Here is a 26543-nt window from a genome sequence, read left to right on the forward strand (position 1 = left end):
TCTCTTTCACCCTCATTCTCTCATGAATATACACTGGAGTCTTCCAGAGGCAACATATGTGATACTGCAACAGTGAAAGCAGAAGCAGATGTGAGAATCTAGTTGTCTTCTAAGAAGCCAGATGTTAAAATATTGGCAAAAATTTAATACAATGCCACATTTCCCATTTTTTGTTTGCGGAACAGAGTTTTAAAAAATGAAAATGGTAATTATGTTAATATGTAATAGGCTTGTTATCTTTATTTTAAAATAATATTTTAGGCCAGGTGCAGTGCCTCACGCCTGTAATCCCAGCACTTTGGAAGGCCAGTGTGGGCAGATCACTTGAGGTCAGGAGTTCAAGACCAGCCTGGCCAACATGGTGAAACCCCGTCTCTACTAAAAATACAAAAATTAGCTGGGTGTGGTGGCGCATGCCTGTAGTCCCAGCTACTCAGGAGGATGAGGCAAGAGAATCTCTTGAACCCGGGAAGTGGAGGTTGCAGTGAGCCGATATTGTGCCACTGCACTCCAGCCTGGGTGACAGAGCAAGACTCCATCTCAAAAAAAACCAGCAAAAATAATAATAATAATATTTTAGAATTTTCTCGACTTTTGTTTCTTATATGCTATCAATAGATTCAACCCATATGAATAAAAGCTATTCGGGATCTTCAATAATTTTTAAGAGTGTGAAGTGATCCTGGAGCCAAAGTGTTTGAGAACTGCTGGCCTTGTCAAAACAAGCCAATCAGAAAGCCTTCTATTATTATATCCTCAGAATTTTGAATCCTAATTGGCTTTCACTAGGCTTTTCTTCCCAAATGAAATTCAGAAACTTAAAGGAGCAGCTACAAAAATCCCCTACCTGGAAACAATTTTGAGTTTCCAGTGCAGTATTCATTTGCATCATAACTGCCAGGTGGGCATAATACTTGCAGTGAAAAAGATAACTGTAGCTATAGATGCGCCACAGCAAGGAAAGGCAGACAGTTTGCCGGTAAAGTTGTGCCAGCCTCTTCTTCCTATTGGATAAGGTAAACACAAATGGAACATGAAAGGTATCATCATTACCATGATTTAGGGGAGCACAGGTACATGGTGTCCTCACTATGGGCCTGGGAATCAAAACTGACTTGAATTTGAGGCCTGTCTCCATGACTGACAAACAAGCACATTAATTTTTATGGAGCACATTTTCTTCATTGTAAAATGGGAATCATAATACCTACTTTATAATGATTAAGATAATTTATGTAAAGCATCTGTCCTGAGTCAGGTAATTGCTAAATGAAGCTATTTAAAAAGCACATTGATATTATTCATCACATTTGATTCTGATGACAATCCTGTAAGAAAAGAGTGGAATAACTGACTCCATTTTACATTTGAGGAAGGTGAGACTCAGGTTAAGTAATTAAGGCAAAGACACACAGCTGGAATGTGGTGGTGCCAGGATTCAAACTCCATCTACCTCCAGCCCAAAAGCCCAATGTATTATTTTCTCCATTGCACACTGCTTTCAGGAACTACTTCTCAGCTCAACAAAGGTGTGAAAGGAAAATAAAAACTCAGGATCCCAATTCACTATGCCAAAAGGAAAAAATTAAGCTGAAAGCTGAGTCATGCAAGAAGTTGCCTTTCCTTTTGTTCCTTAGCAGACAGCTACAGATAAAAAGTTAAGTATCTGCACGGGTAGCTACTCTATGTCTGCCTTATCCTACCTTAAGTGCCTATTTACTGAGTGTGAGACAATACATAATTGACTATTCCCCTAGCTGCTCCTATTCTCTTGCAACATGTGGATTATTATCACGCCCTCCCTCATTTTCCTCCAGCCCACTTTTCCCCTTTAAATACTGCAGTCTCAAACAGGGACTGTTTCTGTGGTTTTGTGTTTTTTTTTCTTCTGGGCATGTCCTTAACCTTGGCAAAATAAACTTACAGATTGATTGATACCTGTCTTGGGTACTTTTTAGTTTACAAAAAAAAAAAAAAAGAGGATTTTTTGTTTTTTGAGCCTCGCTCTGTTGTCCAGGTTGGAGTGCAGTGGCATGATCTCAGCTCACTGCAACCTCTGCTTCCCAGGTTCAAGCGATTCTCTTTCCTCAGCCTCCCCAGTAGCTGGGATTACAGGCACACACCACCATGTCTGGCTAATTATTTTGTGTTTTTGGTAGAGATGGGGTTTCGCCATGTTGGCCAGGCTGGTCCTGAACCCCTGACCTCAGGTGATCCGCCTGCCTCAGCCTCCCGAAGTGCTGGGATTGCAAGCGTGAGCCACTGCGCCTGGCCAAAAAATGAGCATTTTTAACTATTGCATTTTGAAAGGAAAATATCTTGGGCCCCCAAAATCACTAAGGAAAACTCAAGCTGGAAACTGCTTAGGGCAAACCTGCCTCCCATTCTATTCAAAGTCACTCCTCTGCCCTTTGACATAGATGCATATCTGATTTGCCTCCTTTGGAAAGGCGAATCAGAAACTCAAAAGAATGCAACTTTTGTCTCACCTATCTGTGACCTGGAAGCTCCCTCCCAACTTCCTGCCTTTGCTTCAAGTTGTCCCACCTTTCCAGACCAATGTACTTCTTACATATGTTGATTGATGTCTCCTGTCTCCCCAAATGTATAAAATTAAGCTGTGCCCCGACCACCTTGGGCACATGTCGTTAGGACTTACTGAGGCTGTGTTACAGGCGTGTCCTCAACCTTGGCAAAATAAACTTTCTAAATTATGATGTGGAAATGATTTTTTTTAAAGGTTCTTAGGAAACATGGACAGGGTAAAATCTCTCTCTCTTTTTTTTTTGAGACGGAGTCTCGCTTTATCGCCCAGGCTAGAGTGCAGTGGCGCGATCTTGGCTCACTTTAACCTCCACCTCCCTGGTTCAAGCAATTCCCCTGCCTCAACCTTCCGAGTAGCTGGGATTACAGGTGCACGCCACCACGCCTGGCTAAATTTTTTCTGTATTTTTAGTAGAGACGGGATTTCACCATGTTGGCCAGACTGGTCTCGAACTCCCAACTTCAGGCAATCCGCCCCCCTCAGCCTCCCTAAGCGTTGGTATTACAGGCGTGAGCCACAACACCCAGCCCTGGGTAAAATCTCTTATAGGGCATTCGTGAGGGTCATGGACACTCTGACATTAAATGTTGTTCCATGTCATACTCATTTTTGAGATGAGAACCTTTTGACCTGTGGATATTTTAAGCCAACAGCTCCTCAGTTTTTTCTTCTTCAACACTTTTCTACCTTTTCCCTTTGTGCAGGTACTTCTTACTCCTTTTACAAAATGTGAAATGTGTAAATTACCTGTTTTAGCAGATGAAAATACAGGATGCCCAATTAAGTTTGAATTTTAAACCTAATAATTTTTATGGAATGCATATGTCCTAAATATTTCATATGATAGATGTATACTAAAAAAAGTATTCACTGTTTATCTGAAATTCAAATTGAGGCATCCTGCAACCCTATGTGTAATGCAAAGACCACTGCCTTCTCAGAGAGATCTCTGCTGAACATCTCCCAGCCCTTCCTCTTGGGGTTTCCAGAAACAGCCAGGTTTTCCCAGGAGCCCACCTCCAACGTGCACAGGAGCTCAGCTCCATTACATTTCCTTTTCACCTCAGGATTCCCTACATTTAAAGGAACATGTTTGGAAGCTGGGGAAGGCAGTTTCTGATGGGGTTGCAAAAGAGTTGTAGTAGCTTGCTCGTAGGAATAGATGTTTGTATCTTAGGCAGAACCTATAGTAATATAGCTACAGAGCTCCCCCAAGATGGAAGAGGTGTCCTCTGTCAGCTCTCCAGGTACCCAACAAGGAGGCATCTCCTTTGCCATGAATTGCTAGATAGGTGGAATATTTTTGAAAACATTTATTATAGAATAATTCAAGCATACACACAGCAAACAAGAGTATGATGAGCAAAATGCACTCAACACCTACCTTCAACAACTAGCAACATGCTTATTTCATCTACCTCTCCACTCACTATTTCTTCCCACTCATTATTATTATAGTTATCTTATAGGTAGAATTTATATATATTGAAATGCCCAAATCTTAACAGTACAATTTTGACCAACGGATACCCCCCATGTAACCCATATCCCTATTGAGATTCCTAGATGGGTGGGAGTTTTGTCCTTTGGCAAATGTCTTCAGGGCTTGCTATTTTTCTTTGGGGCGGGGCAAAACCCAGTGTCTTAGCACCTAATGGAAGAGGGCTTGTGACTGAGGTCCCAGGAGCAGTGGTGCAGGTTCCATCCAATGAGAACACGGATGGCCATGGGGGTTAAAGGGCTAGATGAGTTAGGACGGACCCTAGAACTTACCTTACAACGAGGTCCCTTATGTTTGAGTCATCAAAATTCCCTTTGGCAAAAACTGCCTGTAAAGTACTTTGTGGCAACCCTGGTATGGGAGCACCTCCCACACTCGCCCCCTCCCCAGTGAATGGTCAGAGCCAAACAGGAGTCCTTGTGCCCCCTGGAGGCCAGGCTTTGGGGGCTGACTTGGATTATGTGTAGGCCTCTCTGGGGAGTGAGACTAAACAGTCTGCTCTCCCCAGCTCCTTCCCTTACCCTGGAGGTGGGCTCTCTTGGGCCTGCCGATTCACATAATGAAAGTGTCTGTTTTTCTCGACATGGATATGGAGAAACAAGGAGATTAAGTTGTAAGGAAAGATTCGGTTGAGGAGCTTCAGTGCCTTCCTCAGCATTTTCTTGGCAAGCACTATCTGGCCCATATTGAAACAGACCTACAGGGAGGTGGGAGGGAAGAGAGGAAAAGAGGAAAACGATGATTCTAACTTAATTAGTAGGTCCCAACAATCCATATTTTGGGGATTCTTATCAAAAAAGGTAATTTATGGACCAGAAACAAAATCTTCCTGTGCCTGGCATAATAGAAAATGTCTATTGGATATATGCATGAAGGGTGGTTGAATGACTAGGATTTAGCATCTTAGTTGTGCATTGTCTACCTCTGAGACAATGTTTACCCATTCAGGTCCATTTTTAGAGATTGTAACAAAAATATTTCATAAAGGTGTCAACCTGGGCCGGGCACGGTGGCTAACGCCTGTAATCCCAGCACTTTGGGAGGTCAGGGCGGGCGGATCACTTGAGGTCAGGAGTTTGAGACCAGCCTGGCCAACATGGTGAAACCCCATCTCTACTAAAATACAAAAATTAGCTGGGCGTGGTGGCGCATGCCTGTAATCCCAGCTACTTTGGAGGCTGAGGCAGGAGAATCACTTGAACCCAGGAGACGGAATTTGCAGAGAGCCGATATCACGCCACTGTATTCCAGGCTGGGCAACACAGCAAGACTCCCTCTCAAAAAAAAAAAAAAAAAAAGATGTAAACCTGGAAGACAGGGAAGATCTTGCTGGTAAGCCATGGTGAGGAGGTTGGAGCCCAGGGATTTGAGTTTCTAGAGTCTTGGCTAGAAGTCTGTGGCAAGAGATGGGAGGAGGGTGTAGAAAGTATAGGGATGACTTCTACTTCTATGGAAAGGCCTAAGATATATAACAGATAAATTCAAGTCTTTAATGGTTTCTTACCTCACCTTTGAGGCTGTAAAAGGTGGCAGACTCAAATGTCTGGCTCCAAGATTTGTCCTTCTTGAGAGTTTTTAGCAACTTCTGTCCTTCATTCAAATACATGTATGCCTGTAACCAGCCCAAGGAGTAGAAAAGTGTTGATTCAGCAGGGATTGAGCCCACAGAAGGGCCATTGCCCCAGACTCTACTGAAGTAAGAGATGCAGGAGCCATTTCAGTTACCACCTCCACTTCCATCCCCAGCTCCACTGATTAAAATGGGCTTCCAAATTCCAGACAGGAGCTGATGGGTAAAGATCTCACCTTCATGCTTACCTTTGTCTGCTGGATCACTCCATCAAGAGAATGAATCTGGAAATCTCCACCTTTCTTCACACTATCATCTAGGTTGCCTTACCCGAAGTTTCCCTCAAGCCAGTTTCTTCCTCTCAATAATTCTATCCCCAACCTCCCTATTCCCAACAACACATCCACTTCCCTTGAACAGCATCCCCACATCTGTGAGAAGTTGGTCTTCAGTTTTTAAATGAATTATGAATCACCCCCACTTCCTTTGCCAGGGTCATTTTGGGAGGTGGATGAGGAAGTAAGTCCCTGCACAACTCTCATCACTTCAGCTTCACCTCCCAACATCATTAGGCAAATCTTAGCACGTGTGCACACCAAGGTAAGATCAGACTTGAAGAATATAATAAGGTGAGGCAGTATCTCCCAGTCTCATGCATCCTGTTGGGTATGTGTGGGAGGCAAAAAAAGAGGGAGACATGATGAGTTGGCCACCAGCCCCAGTCCCACTGGAGTTTGATGGGAGAGGGGGTACAAATGTCACATTCTGGGACCTTGCACTGAGGCTGTGCTTCTAATCATTGTCTTCTTGTCAAGTGAAACGGGGTATGCATAGGTTTTAGAAAGTTGGCCCCCAGGGCTACCTAAGCCTCCTCCTCCTGGGACTCATTGGCTACATCCCCATCATCACCTCGAATATGTGCATGAAATATGCAGGAGACTTTCATTCTTAACATAAATGTTTCAAGGACAGGAACTTAGTGACATTTTTAACAGTTTAATTTTATAATTTTATATAAATCTAAGGTAGGAGGGTTGATTAGGCTGCTGTGACCAGTAGCAACTGTAAATTATGGAAGGTCTATGAAGCTCTTCCTGAAGCTGGCTGAAGTCAGATGAAGCAAGGGCCCAGAAAGACATTTCCTCAAGTGAGTTCATGGAAGGTTAGCCCAGCCAGCTGCTCCATGAAAAGAGATCTAAGGGCAAATAAGTTTGAGAAACACAGTATGCTTCAGCCTAGCCTGGCCTTTACCCTTCTGTGTCCTCTGAACAGATTTATATATATATCTCAGCATATCAAAGGCCCTGAAGTATCTAAAGGCATCTATTTACCTGTATTCAGCTCAGTGATTTCCAACTTACTTAACAATGAATTCTGTTTATTTCATCATGTGTATCAAATCCCCTCATTTCTATGGGCATAGTGCCCTGGAACCTTATTTATAATTACCCTAGAGAAACATTCACTAGTGCTTTGGTGGTCTAATGGTATGTGTAATAATCTAGCACACATTGCATGATGACAAAGGCAGGGAGAGCCTCTTTGGGGATCACAATATTAAAACCAGAATTGGCTGGGCACAGTGGCTCACACTTGTAATCCTAGCACTTTGGAAGGCCAAGGAGGGCAGATCCCTTGAGCTCAGGTGTTCAAGACCAGCCTGGGCAACATAGTGTAACCCCATCTCTACCAAGAACACAAAAAATTAGCTGGGCATGGTGGCATACGTCTGCAGTCCCAGCTACTCAGGAGGCTGAAGTGGGAGGATGGCTTGATCCCGGGAGGCAGACGTTGCAGTGAGCAGAGATCGCGCCACTACACTCCAGCCTGGGTGACAAAGACTTCATCTCAAAAACAAAACAAAAAACCAGAATTGCACTTATCCAAAGACCTACAGGTATTTTGTGCTCACAGGTATTTTAGGCTTAACAGAGGGTAAATGCCACTTGAGGAAGACTATGCTGAGAGTCCTCTCTGCATCATTTTGGGAATGAGATGTGCCCCCTTACCTCCCATACAGGTAGACAATTCATGGCAAGTTTCTAAAGGTGGCAATATTTTAAATAATTTACAATGCTAGTTGCAATGTATTCCAATTCTCTTTTCTCAATCTTAGATCATTTCCCTTCTAAGCAATGTGATTTTCAGTGGAAAGGGGTGCTGTCGGGAATATACAACGTGAAGTAATCAGAAAGCATGCTGGAGCTTCCTTCTGGCTCTATGTTCTATGAATTGTCTCTAGGGTGGAGGTGGTCTGGGTAGAAACAGCTTACCATGTAGTTATCACAAAAGATGAGATAAGCAGATGCAATTTCTAAGAAGTAATATAAGGCTTTGTCATTTTCTCCCAAAGCCAGAAAATGGTGGGCCAGAGGCAAGATGACAATCTCTAGGATTTCTTCACACTGGCAAGATTCCAGAGGGATAATGTCTTCGTCAGATGTCTTCATTTTTGTTAAAACGTGGTCAAAGAAATTCAAGATCTTTTCTCTTATTTCTTCAGGACTGTCCATATGCAGAAATAAATAATAGTAACTTATACAGTATCACTTTTGATATTAAAATATCTTTAGGCCAGACGCGGTGGCTCACGCCTGTAATTCCAGCAGTTTGGGAGGCCGAAGCTGGTGGATCATCTGAGATCAGGAGTTCAAGACCAGCCTGGCCAACCTGGTGAAACCCCATCTCTACTAAAAATATAAAAATTAGGCCGGGTGCGGTGGCTCATGCCTGTAATCCCAGCACTTTGGGAGGCCAAGGCAAGTGGATCACGAGGTCAGGAGATCAAGACCATCCTGGCTAACACGGTGAAATCCCGTCTCTACTAAAAATACAAAAAATTAGCCGGGTGTGGTGGCAGGCGCCTGTAGTCCCAGTTATTCAGGAGGCTGAGGCAGGAGAATCACTTGAACCCAGAAGGCGGAGGTTGCAGTGAGCTGAGATTGTGGCATTGCACTCCAGCCTGGGTGACAGAGCGAGACTCCATCTTGAAAAAATAAATAAATAAAATAAAATATCTTTAAAAACAAAAGAGCAGGATAATAAAACCTAGTGTGGATACTACTGACTAAACTCACCATGCATACCCCCCAAAGTTTCCCACTTGCATCTAAGAGGTCAAAAGTACTGGCCAGACAAATGATTCTAATAGTGTTCTGAATTTAATGACAATTATTTATGCTCTACTTCCTAAACAATGATATATGCCTCTACCTGCGATTTTCAGGAAAAAATGCAGATGTCTCAGGAATCTCTGAGTTGGACAAGATAAGCTTTTCTTCAGCTAGAAAATAAACAAATGAGTTGTATGGGTCATTGAAATGTTCTCTGCAGTGGAGATATCTGCTGTCTACCCAAGACTCTTGTTCCCTTTTCGGAGTTGTTGCTGCCCAGCCAGAAACCACATTGCCTAGTCCCCATTGTATCTTAGGTGAAGCCACGTGATGAGTTCTCACAATAGAATTAGATCAGAAGTAATATATGTCACCTCTAGGCTAAGATGGTTATGTGTCTTCTCTGCCTTCTCTTTCCACAAGAAAGCAAGTAATTCTAAGAACCTGAAGGATAGCAAACCCACAAGTTGGGAGGAGCCTGGGTCCCTTGCTAACTGCATGCAAAGCCATTGGTCAACACTTGCATTGGATTATTTCATAAGGGGGAAATAATCACTCTCTTGTGTTAATCCACAGAAATGCTGGGGTTTGTGATAGCTAATAACATTATCCTAACTCATTTATTCTGCAATAAAAACTATGAATTAAACCTGAAGAAAGTGACATCAATTTCCAGTGGAGAAATATAGATAATTAAATGAAATACCCCAAAAGGTTAACTGAAGGGCAGAGAATCTTAAATTAAAAACCTCAGTCTAAGCAGACTTGAACAGGTTAGAAAATTCCATAATGATCTTAAAACAGAAAACAAATGAGGCTTGTCTAGTCCAGCCATTTCTCCCTTCAGGCAGAAGAAAGAATCCCAGAGAGGGGAATGAACTTGTCTCAGGTCATACATCTGTTAGTGGTGGAGGCAGGACTAGAACTTAGGTTTTCTGGCTCCCAGGCTAATGCATTACTCCATACATCTTATAGATGCAGTTTGAACATCTAAGAAGTTACCACCTTCTTCTGAAAGCCCTCTGTGCTCTTGCCTCCATAGATAAGTACCCCAACTCCTGTGTGCCCGTCAACCCTGTGCAGACCTGTATCATAGTCCTTATTGTACTGCACAGAGATCAATTTGGCCACCTCTTCTCCTAGATTACTATTTATTGATTCCTTAGTGACTAGCAGCTGAATATATTGAATTATGACCCTGTCCCCCTACTTCTCTAAAACTGCTGTTGTTAAAGTTACCTGTGGCCACCATGTTGCCACATCCAAAGGCTACATCTTTGTCTGCACTTGATTACCTCTCAGCAGCATTTAATACAAGTGACCACTCTCCCTTTTCACTGATTCTTTTAGCACACATTGTTTTGTGTGTTATAAGGGAATTGGTTGCCTACTTAATTGGCTACTATTCGTCTACCAACATTCTAAATGTTGGTAAACCTCAGTTTGGTCCTGGGCTCCGTTCTCCTTTCACAATTTCTCCCTAGGCAGTTTCATCTGCCCATGACTTTTAATTACATTCATATGCTAATGGATTTCCATTTTATATATCTAAGCCTCGACATCTACTTTAACTACAGACCCATATATTCAAATACCACCTTGGCAACTGCCATTTGAATGTGTAATAGGCATTTCAAAATTAACATGATTCAAACAGAAACTCTCGAATCTCTCCTCCAGAAACTTATACCCACTTACAACTTTTCCTAACATAGTAAGCATCACTGTCATATATCCATTTTCTCAAGACAAAAACCTGCGCAAGATCCTTGATTATTTTCTTTTTCTTACCCCCTTCCCTATTCAGTCCATCAGAAAGTCCCGTTGACCATACCCAAAAACATATCTGAATTCATCGTCTTCTGTCCATCTTCACTACAGCACCACCTCAGTCCATTACCAAAATTTTACCTGGACAACTGCAAAAAACTAATCTCCCTTCTATTCCTATCCTTTTCAATCTCTTTCTGTAGAGAAGGCAGTACCATTTAAAAAGCATGATTCAGATCTCTGTGGCAGGAACTGCCGGTTTCCCAACTCAATCTCCATTGTCCCTTTTCTCATTAGTAATAGACAGCGACATTCTTCAGCTTCCCTTGCAACTGGATATAGTCATGTGAGTAGGTTCTGATCAATGGGATGTAAGAGGAAATACTGGGTAGGACTTTTAGAAGATCCTTTAAAAGGGAGGGGATATCCTTTCATGTTTTGGCTTCTTTTCTCCTTCTGGCATTAAACATGCTGGCTGGAGCCTCAGCAGCTGTTTTGGACCAAGGACCCTGATGATCATGAAGCCTCCATACTAGTCCCAGTGATGAGGCAAGCCTTTTACATGAGAAATACATAAATACAATACATTTAATAATAAATAAATTTAAGCCACACTAGCTAGGTCCTTATTATATGCAGCCAATACTCATTCTAATTGATATATTTCCAATGTGTTCCAATTCACTTAGACTGAAATTTAGACTATTTATCAAAGTCTACAAGGCCCCTTGAAGATTTTATTACTTAATCTGTTCATTGTCTGTCAGTTGCCATTAAAATTCAAATTTATAAGAAGAGACATGTCTATCTTAATAATAAAATAAAAATTGATAATAAATGTCTACCATTTTTCACTACTATGGTCCGAATATCTAGGTCACTTCCTGGCACATGGTAGACGCTTAATAAATGTTTGTTGCATAAACGCACGTTTGTTGAAAATAAATCAATCAGTAAAATGAAAATGCTATTCCTTCTTCAACATTCTATGTATTTTTTATGTTTAAAGTTGTAATGGTGGCCAGGCACAGTGGCTCATCCCTATAATCCCAACACTTTGGGAGGCTGAGGTGGGAGGATCGTTTGAGTCCAGGAGTTTGAGACTAGCTTGGGCAACATGGCAAGACCTGTCTATAAAAAAAAAAAAAAGAAAAGAAAAAAAAATTAGCAGCACATGGTGGCATGTGCCTGTAGTCCCACCTACTTGGGAGTCTGAGGTGGGAGGATGGCTTGAGCCTGGAAGTTTGAGGCTGCACTAAGCCCAGATCATGCCACTACATTCCAGCCTGGGCAACAGAGCAAGACCCTGTCTCAAAAAAAAAAAATGGTAATGGTGATAGAATGGGATGCAAAGATTGGATAGATAAAGCAAATAGAATCAGGGCATATGAGGTATGCTCTTTGTCATTATGTCATTTATTGCTTGGGTGAATCATATTATTATTACTATTTTTTTTGGATGGAGTTTCACTCTGTTGCCTAGGCTGGAGCGCAGTGGTGCAATCTTAGCTCACTGCAACCTCTGCCTCCTGGATTCAAGCGATTCTCCTGCCTCAGCCTCCCAAGTAGCTGGGACTATAGGCGTGTCCCACCATGCCTGGCTAATTTTTTGTATTTTTAGTGGAGATGGGGTTTCACTGTGTTAGCTAGGATGGTCTCAATCTCCTGACCTTGTGATCTGCCTGCCTCGGCCTCACAAAGTGCTGCAATTACAGGCATGAGCAACCGTGCCCAACCAGAATCATATTATTTTTGATTCTCATTTTTTTCATTTACAAAGGAGATATTATATTAAGAGTTTCCTACTACAAGGAGAATCTGTAAAAATCAAAAGAAAAAAACATACAAATGCCTATAGGTTCTCAAATGAAAAGAGAAAAGCAAAGATATCACCTGCCCACCTTATGGTTTCAAAGAACTAAAACTAAGACTTTAGGTTCAAGATGTCAGACTACCTCTTGGGTTTATCTTCTGTCTCCCCAGGTTCAGGACATTTTACCTAACTAAATGAGAATAAAATGATTTTTTTTTTTTTTTTTTGAGACAGGGCCTTGTTCTGTCGCTCAGGCTGGAGTGCAGTGGCGCCATCATAGCTCACTGCAGCCTCAACCTCCCTGGCTCAAATGATCTTCCCACCTCAGCCTCCTGAGTAGCTGGGGCTACAGGCACCTGCCACCACACCCAGCTAATTTTTTTGTATTTTTTGTAGAGGGAGAGTTCATCATGCTTCTCTGGTTTGTCTTGAACTCTTGAGCTCAAGCAATCCACCTGTCTCAGCCTCCCAAAGTGCTGGGATTACAGGTGAGCCACTGTGCCTGGCAAGAATAAAATGATCTCTAAAAGTATAAATTCAACATGTATAGAATGGAAGGGCCACGCTCCTGTCTTAGGGTCACTGCATTCTCTACCCCTCTGCCTAGAACAGTCTTCCCCAGCCACTCACACAGCAAAATCCCTCACTTCCTCTGTCTTTACATGAATCTTGCTTTGCAGTGAAGTCACCCAAATGGCTCTGCGCTCCTCCTACCCAACATTCTTTTCTGTTTTTCCCCATGGGATTTATCGCTTATACTATATGCTTTCCTTTTTTTTTTTTTTTTTTTTTAAGAGTTGGGGTCTTGCTTTGTCACCCAGGCTGGAGTATAGTAGGGTGAACATGGCTTACTGCAGTCTCAAACTTTCGGGCTCAAGCAATACTCTTGAGTAGCTGGGACTACAGGCACAAGCCATCGCACCTGGCTAATTCTTTTTTTAAGAGATGGGGTCTTGCTATCCTGCCCAGGCTGGTCTTGAACCCTTGGCCTCAAGCCTCCAAAGCCACTGGGATTATAGGCATGAGTCACTGCACCCAGATATTTACTTCTTTATTATGTTTTTGTTCTCCACTGTCTACTTTTCTCCAACAGAATGCTGTTTTGTTCACCGATGCATTTCAGATGCCTAGAGCAGTAAGCAATGCCTGGCACATAAATAAATAATTGTGGAATGAGTAAATGAAATGCTGAATGAAAGTTCAACATATCTGTAGAAGATAAAGGAGTGAGAAGAGTAGTCACTGATGAAATAGGTGGAAGAAGCTGAAGGACAGCCCCCAGGAGGGTAAACCGTTGGAATGAATCAAGACTTAGAAAATAACAGTTCTTAAGAAGGACATGAGGATCAAAAGAGAATTGAAAGGGACCAGCTACCAGCTTCCTCCCTATCTGATTCACACATAATGCAGTAGCCCTGAATCTCCTCCAATTATGTCTTTTTTTTCCCCTTTTGGGGAGAGCAGTGGCCATGATCACGGCTCACTGCATCCTTGAACTCCTGGGCTCAAGAGATCCTCCCACCTCAACTTCCTGAGAAACTGGGACTATAGATGTGTGCCATCATACCTGGCTAATTTTCTTATTTTTAGTTTTTTGTAGAGACAGAGTCTCAGTTTGTTGTCCAGGCTGGTCTTGAACCAGCCCTGGCTTGAACCTGGCTTCAAGTGATCCTTCCACCTCAGCTTCCCAAAGTGCTGGGATTACAAGCGTGAGCCACCACACTTGGTCCCAATTATGTCCTTGACCAGTATTGCCTAAAGGTTATACTCCACACTTTGGGAGGTTCAGGGATAAAGGATAGACAGAGTATCTATCTGTCTAGGATAGATTAAAGCAGGATATTTTAAGGAAGACACTGCAAAAAAAAAAACGTTTCCTAGTAACCCTAGGGAAAATAAACATTTGTTAAGAAATCTATTCACAGTATATTACTTGGTTTGTAATGGACAACATTTACATAGTCTTAATAATGTAAACACTTCATTGGCTTATCTAATGCCAGTTATATGACAATATAGGGGAGAGGGGCCGAGGAGTGGTGTAACAGAGTTAAATCCTCATCTGCCATAGCCAGAAAACAGATGTCAGAATTTGATTTTCTTAAAAATCAGTAAAAGCAATGTTAATATACCATTTAGTATATGGAGGTAATGACTAGAAAGAACAGCTAAATTAAAAATGTTTGCCCCTGACTGGAATTACTGAAGGTGTGTGGGACGGTCGGCCATGGGATTACTGTTTTGTGATACGACATTTAGGGAATTTACAAAGTCTCTAAAGTTTGTCGAGTCGATAGCCTTCTGAACAGGTGAAAAATTCTGATAAGAGAAATAGTAGAGCTGTGGCCTCACTCAGGTGGAGGTGCTGATGGAAGGGATACCAGCAGACATTATTCAGAGACATTTGGTCATATATGTTCCAGAGCTGAACTGCCAGTTGATTGGAAAATCTGCAAATAACTGAAATTGTTTGCTTTGATGACACTAGTCAACCTGCTCAAGGCCAGCTGCTCAAACTGACCTATATTCTAGCTGTCAGTGTATTTTAGCTTATTTTATCCCCCAAAATAAAACATCAATCTACCAAAAAATGCATCTATGTATATGTATGTGTGTGTACATGTGTATGTGTGTGTGTATATGTATGACTCACTGACCCCGCACAGTCAAATATTCTTCTTTCCCCTTTCCCTCATCTCTTTCCATCATTTCATCTCCTACTGATACTTTCATTGGTTCTTTGAATAGGGCCCTGTGTGGGATCCTTCACTAAAGCTTCCTTAATTCAGGCAGCGCATCTTCTCGGTGCTCCAGTCTGTCCCCCTTATCCCTGTCTCATTCTAGCAGTCCACACCCAAGGGTCTTGTTACCCTCCCAAGGGCACCCTGGGAAGAACTTAAAATGGTTCCAGACTGGCTGTTTCTCCCAGGTGGGTTTTATCTGATCCATGAGAAACCCTCACACATCCTTTCCCACAGTCTGGGATGGCAGCTTGATCCCAATGCAGCCACAGGCCACTTCAGCCTTCTTAGGCATGAGGCAGGCCCCAGTGTTCTATGTCCTCTGATTCTAAGGAAGACACCTCACCAGGCTTGAGGTGATGAAGTAAACAACCCACTTGAGGAGGGCACACAGCACCTCATCAGTTCTCACCAAAGAGATCTCTTCACAAATCCTGACCCTCTACATCCTCTTCCTCATTTCTATGTCTTAGGTCTGGGCGAAGGATCCAAGATTATAATTGATTCTCAGCTATTTCTTTTGTAATTCTGTATATCCACTGCCTCAGTTTGAATTGCAGCATTAGTTGTATCTTGGTGCTCTGGCACAAATTTCAATTTCAACATAATATTACACACATACCACTTTTGTGATAATAATATTACCAATTTTGTAAAAATATAACAAACAAGAGAGAATTTAATAAATGCTAGTAATAGAACTAGACTCAGGTAGGTGTACATTCCCCTGACATCTTCCCTGCCCAGTGCAGATGAGACTATTGCTGAAGTCTTATCCTCTTTGTACTCAAGCTCTCAGAGGACTAAAAATCTTCATGGTCCAGATCCTAAGGCTCTGAACCTACAGCCTGATTCCTGTTTTCCAAAAAGGGAGATGGACTAGTGTTAGTGCAGTTTCAACAACATGCTCGTCCCACTGTGCAAAGCTGCAACTTTCTCATTCTCTTGATTTCTACTTCATGCTGTGTCTACGAACTTCCTATCTTCTGGCAAGTATTACCTAAAATCCAACCCCACATTTGGGGGAGCTCAGGTATAATGAGCAGAGGATGAACTTAGGAATTAGACTGATGGCAGATTGAATAAAGCCTGTCACTCATTCTGTGGTATTGGGTAAGTTACTTAAGCTTCCAGAACCACAATTTAAAAAATCTATACAATGAAAACAACCCTCATCAACCTTAAAGGGTTAATATGAGGATCCACTGAGAAGGCACATGAAATGGAGAACGAATGAGAAAAAAAAGTTTATTTTGCACCTGCTATGTACTAGGCAGTTTAGATACATTTCTTCCTGATTTTTAATATCCTTATAATATAGGAGTCCTCTACTTGTAGCCTCTGATTTCCCAACCAGATTTAGCCATAATCACCAAGGTCCTCTGACTAGAGTAGGCAGCCCATTAGGAGCTCCCTGGCCACCATGAATGGGGGCTAGAATTGGTGGTGTTGCTCTGTGTCTGACACCCATCATGCCCATAGTGACTGAGTCTTTGGGTCCTTACACCCCCTGAATCCTCTGCTATGTTTTCTCAGATCACATGGCTGGTTGGTATTATTGGCTTGTAACTTTTTAACTTTTGCTTCTCCGATGGTCTTGAATTCTTGCCCTGAAACCAAGCCCTGTTTTCTGGAGCCCTGACCTGCTTAGCCCTGGCTAATTCTCTCTCAGTCATGTTCTTTACCCACTGGAACCTGTTTCAAACTAGACCAACAAAGCAATAATATTCTTATCTGCCAAGAAACACCATGTCATCATGTCAGATTGTACCCCCCTTTGGATTCCATCCTTTGGTGTGAATTAAGTGGGATATTTTAGTTTGAGTTCTGGTCACATCCCATTTTGCCAGAGCCCCTATCCCCAAACCCTCCCTGACAGTTATAGTGAGATTGGTTCGCTAGACTCAATACAGGTACATTCCCTTACTTTTCTCTTCCCCATTGGCCTAGGCTGCTGAAGTCTCATCATTCTTTGTGCCCAAGCCGCTTATGAGACTTGAAGCCCTCAAGATCCACACCCACTCCTTCTAGATCTTAGTCTCTAGATTTCCCAAGAACAGTTAGGATAATTTTAAAATGAAGTAGGTTACTTTTAAATCCATGAGACATAGCCATCTTTTTAATGGCATCCATGTCTAAAGCGTTGAGCCGAATATTCACTGTGAAGTGATGATAGGGAATGAAGTCCCTGCCTCGGCAGTGGTCACATCTGTGGGCATCTTCTTCTAAAAAGCGGGCACATTTCAAGTGCATGGCTTTTCTCTGGTCCTTGAGCCACAGCTCGTAGGCTGTTTTCTGCATCATAGGGTTACAGAATCGAATCCTGTGGCACTCGATCACCTCATTCTCCAGTTCACGAAGCTGTTCCTCTTCACCGTGATCTGGAGAGAGCAAAAAGGGTTTTTCAGCCAGGCAGTGGGCAACAGATCAGCCCCTTCTACCTAACATAGGTCAATTCTTTGATCTAGATGGGTCCTTAAGAGGAAATTGGGTCACTCCAGGTGCTACTCACCCATCCCTTCACTGGGCTTCAGAGACAAGGAACGATAGTGCACCTCAAATGAGGGATCATTCTGTTTCAGGGCCTTTTGAAGCTCCTTGCCATTCCGGAAACAATAAAAAATGTTAGATTCCACTAGGGTTGCCAGGGTCTTGATCATCATCTTCATATTCCAACAGGGGAGAATCTCAAACAACAACTCAGTGGTGAAGGTCAGGCCAATGATGGCAGCACATCTCACCAGCATTTGGTGGGAAAGTCTCATGCTATCCAGCTGGATCAGAGAGATTTCTGCAGGTAGAAGGCCACACAGTAGAAAACTAGTTATTTATCTTTATCTAATATGCTGTATTTAATATAGAGCAGGTGGACAACCATCCTGCTCTACAGTTCTTGTTGCAAGAAACTCAGCCAAGCTAAGTCAAAAGAAGTATTTGTTTAGTACCTAATTTGTGGATAGCACTTGTGCTGGGAGTACTAAAGATGCAGGCTTATGGCCTAGAAAGACACACAGCACAATGACCTGACAAAATTAAGATCTATTTCATGGTGTTCTGATTTTGTGCTAAAGTGTGACAAGTGTGTGTGAGGAGAGGAGAGGACATTGTAATCACTATTGTCAGAAGGAGCAGGCCCTGCCATTCCTGTGCTTTGTTGACTTCCTCAGCTGGTCCTTTTGTATCTTCTTCTCTGCCTCCCCTTTCTCCTAGAAACTCCTGGTTTCTCTCTATCTGCCCTAGAAATTTATGTATTCTCATGACATACATTATCATCTCTGTGTCATGACCAAGTGTCAGAGAGTTCACAGCTCCTATCCCAACTTTTCATCTAAGCTTGAATATCGGTAGCTCATGTGACTTTCTGGACATTTTGACCAGGATGTCCTTCTGTTAGGGACAAAATTAGAATTTCTCAACTTGCCCAAAAAACACAGTAGAAACTAAGCTAGTCCATCCTCTTTTTTTTTTTTTGAGATGGAGTCTCACTCTTGTTGCCCAAGCTGGAGTGCAATGGCTGATCTCGGCTCACTGCAACCTCCGCCTCCTGGGTTCAAGAGATTCTCCTGCCTCAGCCTCTTGAGTAGCTGGGATTATAGGCACCCACCACCATGCCCGGCTAATTTTTTGTGTTTGTAGGAGAGATGGGATTTCACCATGTTGACCAGGCTGGTCTCGAACTCCTGACCTCAGGTGATCCACCTGCCTCGGCCTCCCAAAGTGCTGGGATTACAGGTGTGAGCTACTGCCTTCTTACATTAGTAGACACAGCTAACGAAACATAAATGGCACTCTTTTGAAGACTGAGGACCTTGAGATGTCCCTAGGCCACCTTTCTAAACATTGAAAGTTGCTTATGGATGGCATGAATTGGAGCTGAGTTCATACTAAAACATTCCTTGAAAGTCATTTTTCTTTAAAAGAATAATAATACATCTTTCTTTCTTTCTTTCTTTCTTTTTTGAGACAGAGTTTTTCTCTTGTTGCCCAGGCTGGAGTGCAATGGCGTGATCTCGGCTCACTGCAACCTCCGCCTCCTGGGTTCAAGCAATTCTCCTGCCTCAGTCTCCTCAGTAGCTGGGATTACATGCATGCGCCACCATGCCCGGCTAATTTTTTTTTGTATTTTTAGTAGAGACGGGGTTTCTCCATGTTGGTCAGGCTGGTCTCTAGAACTTCTGACCTCAAGTGATCCACCCGACTTGGCCTCCCAAAATGCTGGGATTACAGGAGTAAGCCACTGTGCCTGGCCAATAATATGTCTTTCATATAAACTCGTTTGTCATTTCTTTCTCATAAAAGTGGATGACAGGAAGTATCTCAGTATTAGATTTTCTCCCTCATTATTTGGTTTCTGTTTAATTGAAAATGTACAATATTTCATTCTTTTATGCAGATCCCAGAATATACACAGGGGGAAAGATGGCTCTTAGGAGCAAAGCCAAGCCTACCCTGAGCCTTCTCACTGCTTCAGGCAGTACAGAGCAAACAGACAAACAACCAATGTTGCTGTTTTTCTTTTTCCTTTTAAAAACAGACATCCTAGAGAAAGCCAAAGTGGAGTTTAGGGACTAGAAAATAAATACCAGGTCAGATTTTCTTTTCTTTTTTTTTTTGAGATGGAGTCTCACTCTGTCACCCAGGCTGGAGTGCAGTGGCTCACTGCAACCTCCGCCTCCCAGGTTCAAGCAATTCTCCTGCCTCAGCTTCCCGAGTAGCTGGGATTACAGGTGTGTGCCTGGCTAATTTTTTTGTATTTTTAGTAGATACGGGGTTTCACCATATTGGCCAGGCTGGTCTCAAACTCCTGACCTTGTGATCCGCCCGCCTCGGCCTCCCAAAGTGCTGGGATTACAGGCGTGAGCCACTGCGCCCGGCCAGATTTTCTTACCTTTTAATGACGTTGGAGGTGACAGGTTTTTCAGTCTGACACCACTTGTGAGGTGACAGACTTCTTCACTTTCCTTATCACTATGGAGAGTAACCATGTTTAACTTCTCTGTTAGCTTAATGGAATACTCTACAGGGGTATAAAAGGGAAGAAAAGTTGAGTCATTATCCTGTCTTATAAGGTCTGATTTTCCAATGAACTTTGAGATGGATCTCATATGAGGAAGACTGGGCAGAGATGTATATTGGCTCACCAAATATTCTGGAAACCTTTTTTTTGTTTTGTTTTGTTTTGTTTTTTGTTTTTTTGAGGTGGAGTCTCTCACTGTCGCCCAGGCTGGAGTGCAGTGGCGTGATCTTTGCTCACTGCAACCTCCGCCTCCCAGGTTCAAGCGATTCCTGCCTCAGCCTCCCAAGTAGCTGGGATTACAGCCGCCCACTACCATGCCTGGCTAATTTCTGTAGAGATGAGGTTTCACCATGTTGGCCAGGCTGTTCTCAAACTCCTGACCTCAAGTGATCTGCCTGCCTCGGCCTCCCAAAGTGCTGGGATTACAGGTATGAGCCACACTGCACCAGGCCGCTGGAAACCTTATTCTAAGTAAAACTGATTCATGAAAATCTAGATGTACTCAAAAATGTTTTGTCTCCCTCTGCCAACCCTGCCCAACCAAAAGAATTGGCACTATTGATGTCTTCCATAGGATATAAGGCTTTACAAACGTTTGATTCACAGTCAGATTATCAGAATGTATTATATATGTATTATGTATATACATAATGTATATCAGAATGTATTATTATATATATACATAAACATATATTTGTATGTATACATTTACATACCCACACTCAGTTACAAACACATTCTGTGAGGCACTGTACTCTAATTAGGACATAGCTACTATCAGAGATATTTTAAATGGTGAAGTTTGAATAGTAAATGTGCCTAGTAATTTGGTTTCCTAGTACTCCAAAATGCATTATTTTTCTATCCCTTCAGCCATTCATGTAGTCCTTGGTAGCGGCAAGACTGTGCTAGGTGAGGTGGAAATAGGAAGGTGAATAAAACCAAGTTCCTTATTTCCTGGAGCTCTAAGTCATGTACACTAAGAGCTGGACTGCCAGGCAGTAGATGAGTGCCATGTGATTGGGCACATACAGTAAGCACCAGAGTTCACATCAATACAGGACATATTTATTAAGGACTTTCTGTGCATCATATCCAGTGAAGGCTATCAATGTGAATAACACATGCTTCCAGCCCTCAAGAGGCTTAAAAATCTGTGGAGACAGATACATAAGTAACTAATTATAACATCAGGATGGGTGACTTAAGAGCTAAAGAGCAAAGAGTAACATGTTGTGGGAACAGAAAATAACAATTAAATCAGACTTGGTGGATTCAGAAAGGCTTGATAGGGGAGGAAGTACTTTGATCCTTGAAGGATGAAGAGATATTCTAAGCGGCAAGTGGAGGAGAGGCCAACGCGAAGGCACAGGAACCTCAGAGTACTTAGCGAGTTAGGGGAATGGAGCGGCCCAGCGTGACTAAAGTGCAGGGCCTGGAGTGCTCAGGTGCTATGTGGGAGACGTGTTTGGAGAGCTAGTTTGGGAGCAGAGCATGGAGGGCATTAAACACCATAATATGAAGACTGGACTTTATAGACAAGAGGGAAAGGTCACAGATTTCTGAAGAGGAGATAGTAGTAATCCAACTAGTCGTATTTAGGAAGGTACCACTGGAAGCAGCATATGGAAAAGGCGAGAGACTAGGACAGGGAAGACTATGTAAGGAGCTATAACAATGGAATGTCAAGAAGTGAGGATGGATAGAACCAGGCAAGTGGTTCAGCAAGGAGAAAGCAAATACTAAAGATATGGAGGAAATGGGGCCTAAGCAAGACAGTGATAGAAGTGACAGAGACACGAAGTACAGAAGGAGGGGTGGTTGAGCGGGAGGATAATGCATGAAGTTTTAGATTTATTAAGTTTAAGGGAATCTGTGGAATAGTTCAATGGGCAATTGGAAATATGGGTGTGGAATTAAGGGTGAGGTTAGGGTTCGACACACACGAAGGCTGAGAAATAGATGAGTAAATGAAAACAACTGGGGAGAGAGTTGTTTCCAATTCTGGCAAGCTAGCAAGAGGAAAGGGTTAAGGATAGAACTTGAAGAATGTCCCAGGAGGAGTAGACCCAGGTAGAGAGCCAAGGATTATCTGAGGACTGGTCAGAGAGGGGAACAGGAGGAGTGTGGGGTCAGGAAAGCCAAGGGAGGATAGCATACCAAAAAGGGGGCCGTGTGTGTGTGTGTGTGTGTGTGTGTGTGTGTGTGTGTGTGTGTGTTGGGAGTAGGAGAGTGGGGCTCAAGGATATGACGTGGTCCATGCTATTTTATGCTTATTTCCCCTTCCAGGACCTAGCATTGAGACAACCATTCTTTCCATCACTCAACCAGTATTAACTGATTGCCTCTAGGTGCTAGGAATTTTCCTAGGATTGGGGATTCAGGAGAGCACAAAACTCCATGCCTCATGAAGCTCACATTCTAGTGGGAAACAAACATTAAACAATAGATAAATACATTAAAAGGATAATCTCGTAATTCAATTATGTGAAAGAAATAAAAGGGTGATAGACAGAATGTACTCCCTACTCAGGTTCGCCTGTTGTCAGCCTTTGCCCTATTTACTATATCCTAGGTTCCTTCTATGTGTACATATTTTTCTGAAGCATTTGAATATAAGTCACATACATCACACCCTATACTCCCAAATACTTTACTCTGTATTTTCTAAAAATATTGACACTCTTTTGTTTGTTTGTTTGTTTTGTTTTTTTGAGACAGGGTCTCACTCCTGTTGCCCAGGCTGGAGTGGAGAGTTGTGATCATAGCTTGCTGCAGCCTCAACCTCCCTGGCTCAAGCAATCCTCCCACCTCAGCCTCCCAGGTAGCTGGGACTACAGGCGTGCGACACCACACCCGGCTAATTTTTGTATTTTTAGTAGAGATGGGGTTTTGTCATGTTGCCCAGGAAGGTCTCAAACTCCTGGGCTCAAGCAATCCGCCCGCCTCAGACTCCCAAAGTACTGGGATTATAGGTGTGGGCCACTGCACCTGGCCAACACTCTCTCATATAACTAGAATATAGTTATCACCTTCAAGAAACTTAACATTGGTCGGGCACAGTGGCTCACGCCTGTAATCCCAGCATTTTGGGAGGCCGAGGTGGGTGGATCACAAGTTCAGGAGTTCAAGACCAGCCTGGCCAAGGTGGTGAAACCCCGTCTCTACTAAAAATGCAAAAAAAATTAGTCAGGCATGGTGGCAGTTGCCTGTAATCCCAGATACTCGGGAGGCTGAGGCAGAGAATTGCTTGAACCCAGGAGGCGGAGGCTGCAGTGAGCCAAGATCGTGCCACTGCACTCCAGCCTGGGCGACAGAGTGTCTCAAAAAAAAAAAAAAAGAAATTTAACATTGATACAATACTTTAGTCTACTGTCCATATCCCAATTTTGTGAATTGATCAAATAATATCCTTTAACATTCTCTTTTCTTCCAGTATAGGATCCAGTCCAGGATTATGTATCATATTTATTTTTTTAATTGAAGTGAAATTCACCTAACATGCAATTAATTATTTTAAAGTATACAATTCAGCGGCCTGTAGTGCATTCACAATATTATGTAACCAGAATCTCTCCTTAATTTCAGTTTTTTAAAATTAAGACACAAAAGACACTGAAGGGTTTTAAATAGAGAAGACACCTGATTGTGTTTTAAAAAGCTCATAACAGGGCCAGGTGCAGTGGCTCACACCTGTAAACCCAGCATTTTGGGAGCCCGAGGCGGGCAGATCACTTGAGGTCAGGAGTTCAAGACCAGCCTGGCCAACATGGCAAAACCCTGTCTCTACTAAAAATATGAAAATTAGCTGGGCGGTAGTGGTGCATGCCTGTAATCCTTGCTACATGGGAGGCTGAGGCAGGAGAACTGCTTGAGCGCAGGAGACGGAGATTGCAGTGAGCCGAGATCGTTCCACTGCACCCCAGCCTGGGCGACAGAGTGAGACTCTGTCTCAAAAAAAAAAGCTCATAACGGATACTACATAAACATTTATTGAACAAGTAAACAAAGTAAACAAATGTATAAAATTTAGAAATAGTATTTACTCTGCAGTATTTATATTTACATATCGCTTTCCTTTAATCCATTGGCATCTTAATATTATTATAATGGAATTATTTAGTCTAAAAATAATAATCATAGCAGTCATTATCTATTTAATGATCCACTATCATCTTTAAAACTAATTTGGCCAGAGAAAGTCTTCTCCATTTTTTCATCACAATCATCCAGAAAGAAAAAAAAAATTGATCTTTCCTTAAAAAGCAAGCTAATGTTTCTTGTTCCTTAAAAAAAAAAAAGGTAGAGCTTTGCCCTGTTCTCTCAGACAACCATCTGTCTCATTTCTCCTACAGATGTGCCCTTGGGGGCCACATGGTCCTGTAGTCATGCTATTGAACAAGAAGTGAGAGGCAACAGATGCAGCACAGACTGAAACATGGATAGGGACATCTGAGCATCATTCATTCACCCAGGAGGCAGGGGTTTTTAGGAAGCAAGAGGAATCTTTTTTATGAAATTTCCCTCATTGTCACCTTTAGGTGGTGATTTTCTATCCTGCTACATAGAGACAGCAGCACCATAAGTCCTTTATTGCACCGTATTCACCTCATCATGACACTGATCTCACACCTATATTCTTGTCTTTAAATTTAGTCGCAGAGGAATACGTTTTGACCCTCTAGGTTTAGTAATATTAATACACGTCGTGCTTATAGCTGTTAAATCATCGTATTACTTAATTTGAGTCACAAAAAAATGAAGAGGCTTCCAATTCCAGGAAGAGAGAGTTGGTATGTTTTTCCCTATTCCTCCTGCTAAATATAGTTAAAACCCCTAGACGTTATGTGTAAAACAAACAGAAGATGACATTGAAGGTGGAAAGAAGTCAGACCAGCTAGGGACCTTAGGACCCAAGGAAAAACGTGGCAGTGGGTCCCATGGCAGGGCTTTCTTTTTGCCTCACATGTTCAAGACTTAGAGCTTAAGAATCTAGCAACTCAGAAACACCAAGGGAGTGGAAACAAAAAAAGTCCCAATTAAAGCCTGCTCTATCTAGCCTTAATTCTCTGCTTTCCAACTTGTAATCTCTGGCCCCCACCCTTTTCCCTGCAATAAAATTATTTTCCTAAAAATTCCAACTGGCCTCCTTCATGCCATCACTTCAGATTTCATCCCTGTATATATCTGTGTAGCACGGGATCTTTGTTGATAACTCACTTCGTACTAGCAATTTTACCTCTGGCAAAAAAGGAAAGGCTTTTTGAAGATAACATCAAAGCGGCCCTTCAGTTCTGGGCCTTAAGATTTGTCAATGTTCTTTCATTTCTACTATAGTTACTTTTTTTTTTTTTTTTTTTTTTTTTTGAGACAGAGTCTCACTCTGTTGCCCAGGCTGGAGTGCAGTGGTGCAATCTCAGCTCACTTCAACCTCCACCTCCCAGGCTCAAGAGATACTCCTGCCTCAGCCTCCCGAGTAGCTGGGATTACAAGCACCCACCACCACACCTGGCTAATTTTTGTATTTTTAGTACAGATGGGGTTTCACCATGTTGGCCAGGCTGGTCTTGAACTCCTGACCTCAAGTGATCTGCCTGCCTCGGGCTCCGAAAGTGCTGAGATTTAGGCGTGAGCCACCGCGCCCGGCCATAGTTAGACAATCTTTAGCCGAGTCCAGTGAGTCCCAGGCAATGTTAAGTTCGCTTACAATCTGGAATATCGGATCCAATAATTCCTGGCTCCCCAGAACCTTCTGACTCTACAGGAAGCAGCCTGTGGAATAGCTCATTTTTGCTACCTTCTCTGAATGAAGACTTAAGTTAGGCAGAACAGAGTAAGAAAGAACCATCACCGCAGGACTTACTGAACAGGTTATTCCAGGTCCTATTTGTCTTTTCCTCAGACTCCGTTTGTTGGAAAACGAGTACCTCATGATGTTCCAGGTTTTTAAGCAATTCTTCACAGTAAAATGGAATCCCACAGCTTCCCTCCCCCAGGTACCTGTAGTGAAAACAAGGCAATCTGTTTACATTGAAGATACATCTTTTAGGAAGGAAAAATATGTAAGTCTTCTCAATCACTTGAAAATAATTTCTTGTCATTCTTCATTTGTTTCTGTTTGTTTTCAGTTTTGAGGCATTGCTTTGTTTTCTTTTTATTTCACTCATGTGTGTACACAATAAGTGTGCACACACTTGATTTATAGTTTTTAAAACAGACATTGGAAGGATAAGCCAAAAACTAATCAAAATGGTTACCTATAGGATAAGGGAGGGAAGCAAGACTAAGGATGTACCTTTTTGGCTTTGGAAAGATATACATGTTCTATATAATTTAAACAGAGAGAGGGGGAGAGAGAGAGAGAGACCGACAGAAAGAATGAGTGCCAAATTGGTGCCTGGAGTTATCTTAAATGAGCCTTTGTTCAAGACATCTTCCTTCCAGAAGCAGGGCAACCTCATTGCAGATACTAA

General features: G+C 42.4%; 1 protein-coding gene across 11 annotated transcripts in view; it reads right to left on the bottom strand.

The window, feature by feature from the left end:
- The window catches only part of ADCY10 (adenylate cyclase 10), a 104749-nt gene that overhangs the window by 19034 nt on the left and 59172 nt on the right, over positions 1–26543 (bottom strand). For 7 of the 11 annotated variants that reach the window (NM_001167749.3, XM_011509762.4, XM_006711449.5 and 4 more), the window contains 9 exons: positions 25934–26070; positions 19942–20070; positions 17566–17844; positions 17144–17434; positions 8830–8899; positions 7890–8121; positions 5551–5658; positions 4568–4743; positions 848–1004 (listed from right to left, as the gene is read on the bottom strand). In NM_001167749.3, the coding sequence (NP_001161221.1) occupies positions 848–1004; positions 4568–4743; positions 5551–5658; positions 7890–8121; positions 8830–8899; positions 17144–17434; positions 17566–17844; positions 19942–20070; positions 25934–26070 (1579 nt within the window). The other 4 variants (XM_017001778.3, XM_011509763.4, XM_005245330.6 and 1 more) reach the window with 4 other exon arrangements.

This window comes from Homo sapiens, chromosome 1, assembly GCF_000001405.40.
Source record: "Homo sapiens chromosome 1, GRCh38.p14 Primary Assembly".
In the NCBI taxonomy this organism is placed as follows: Eukaryota; Metazoa; Chordata; class Mammalia; order Primates; family Hominidae; genus Homo; species Homo sapiens.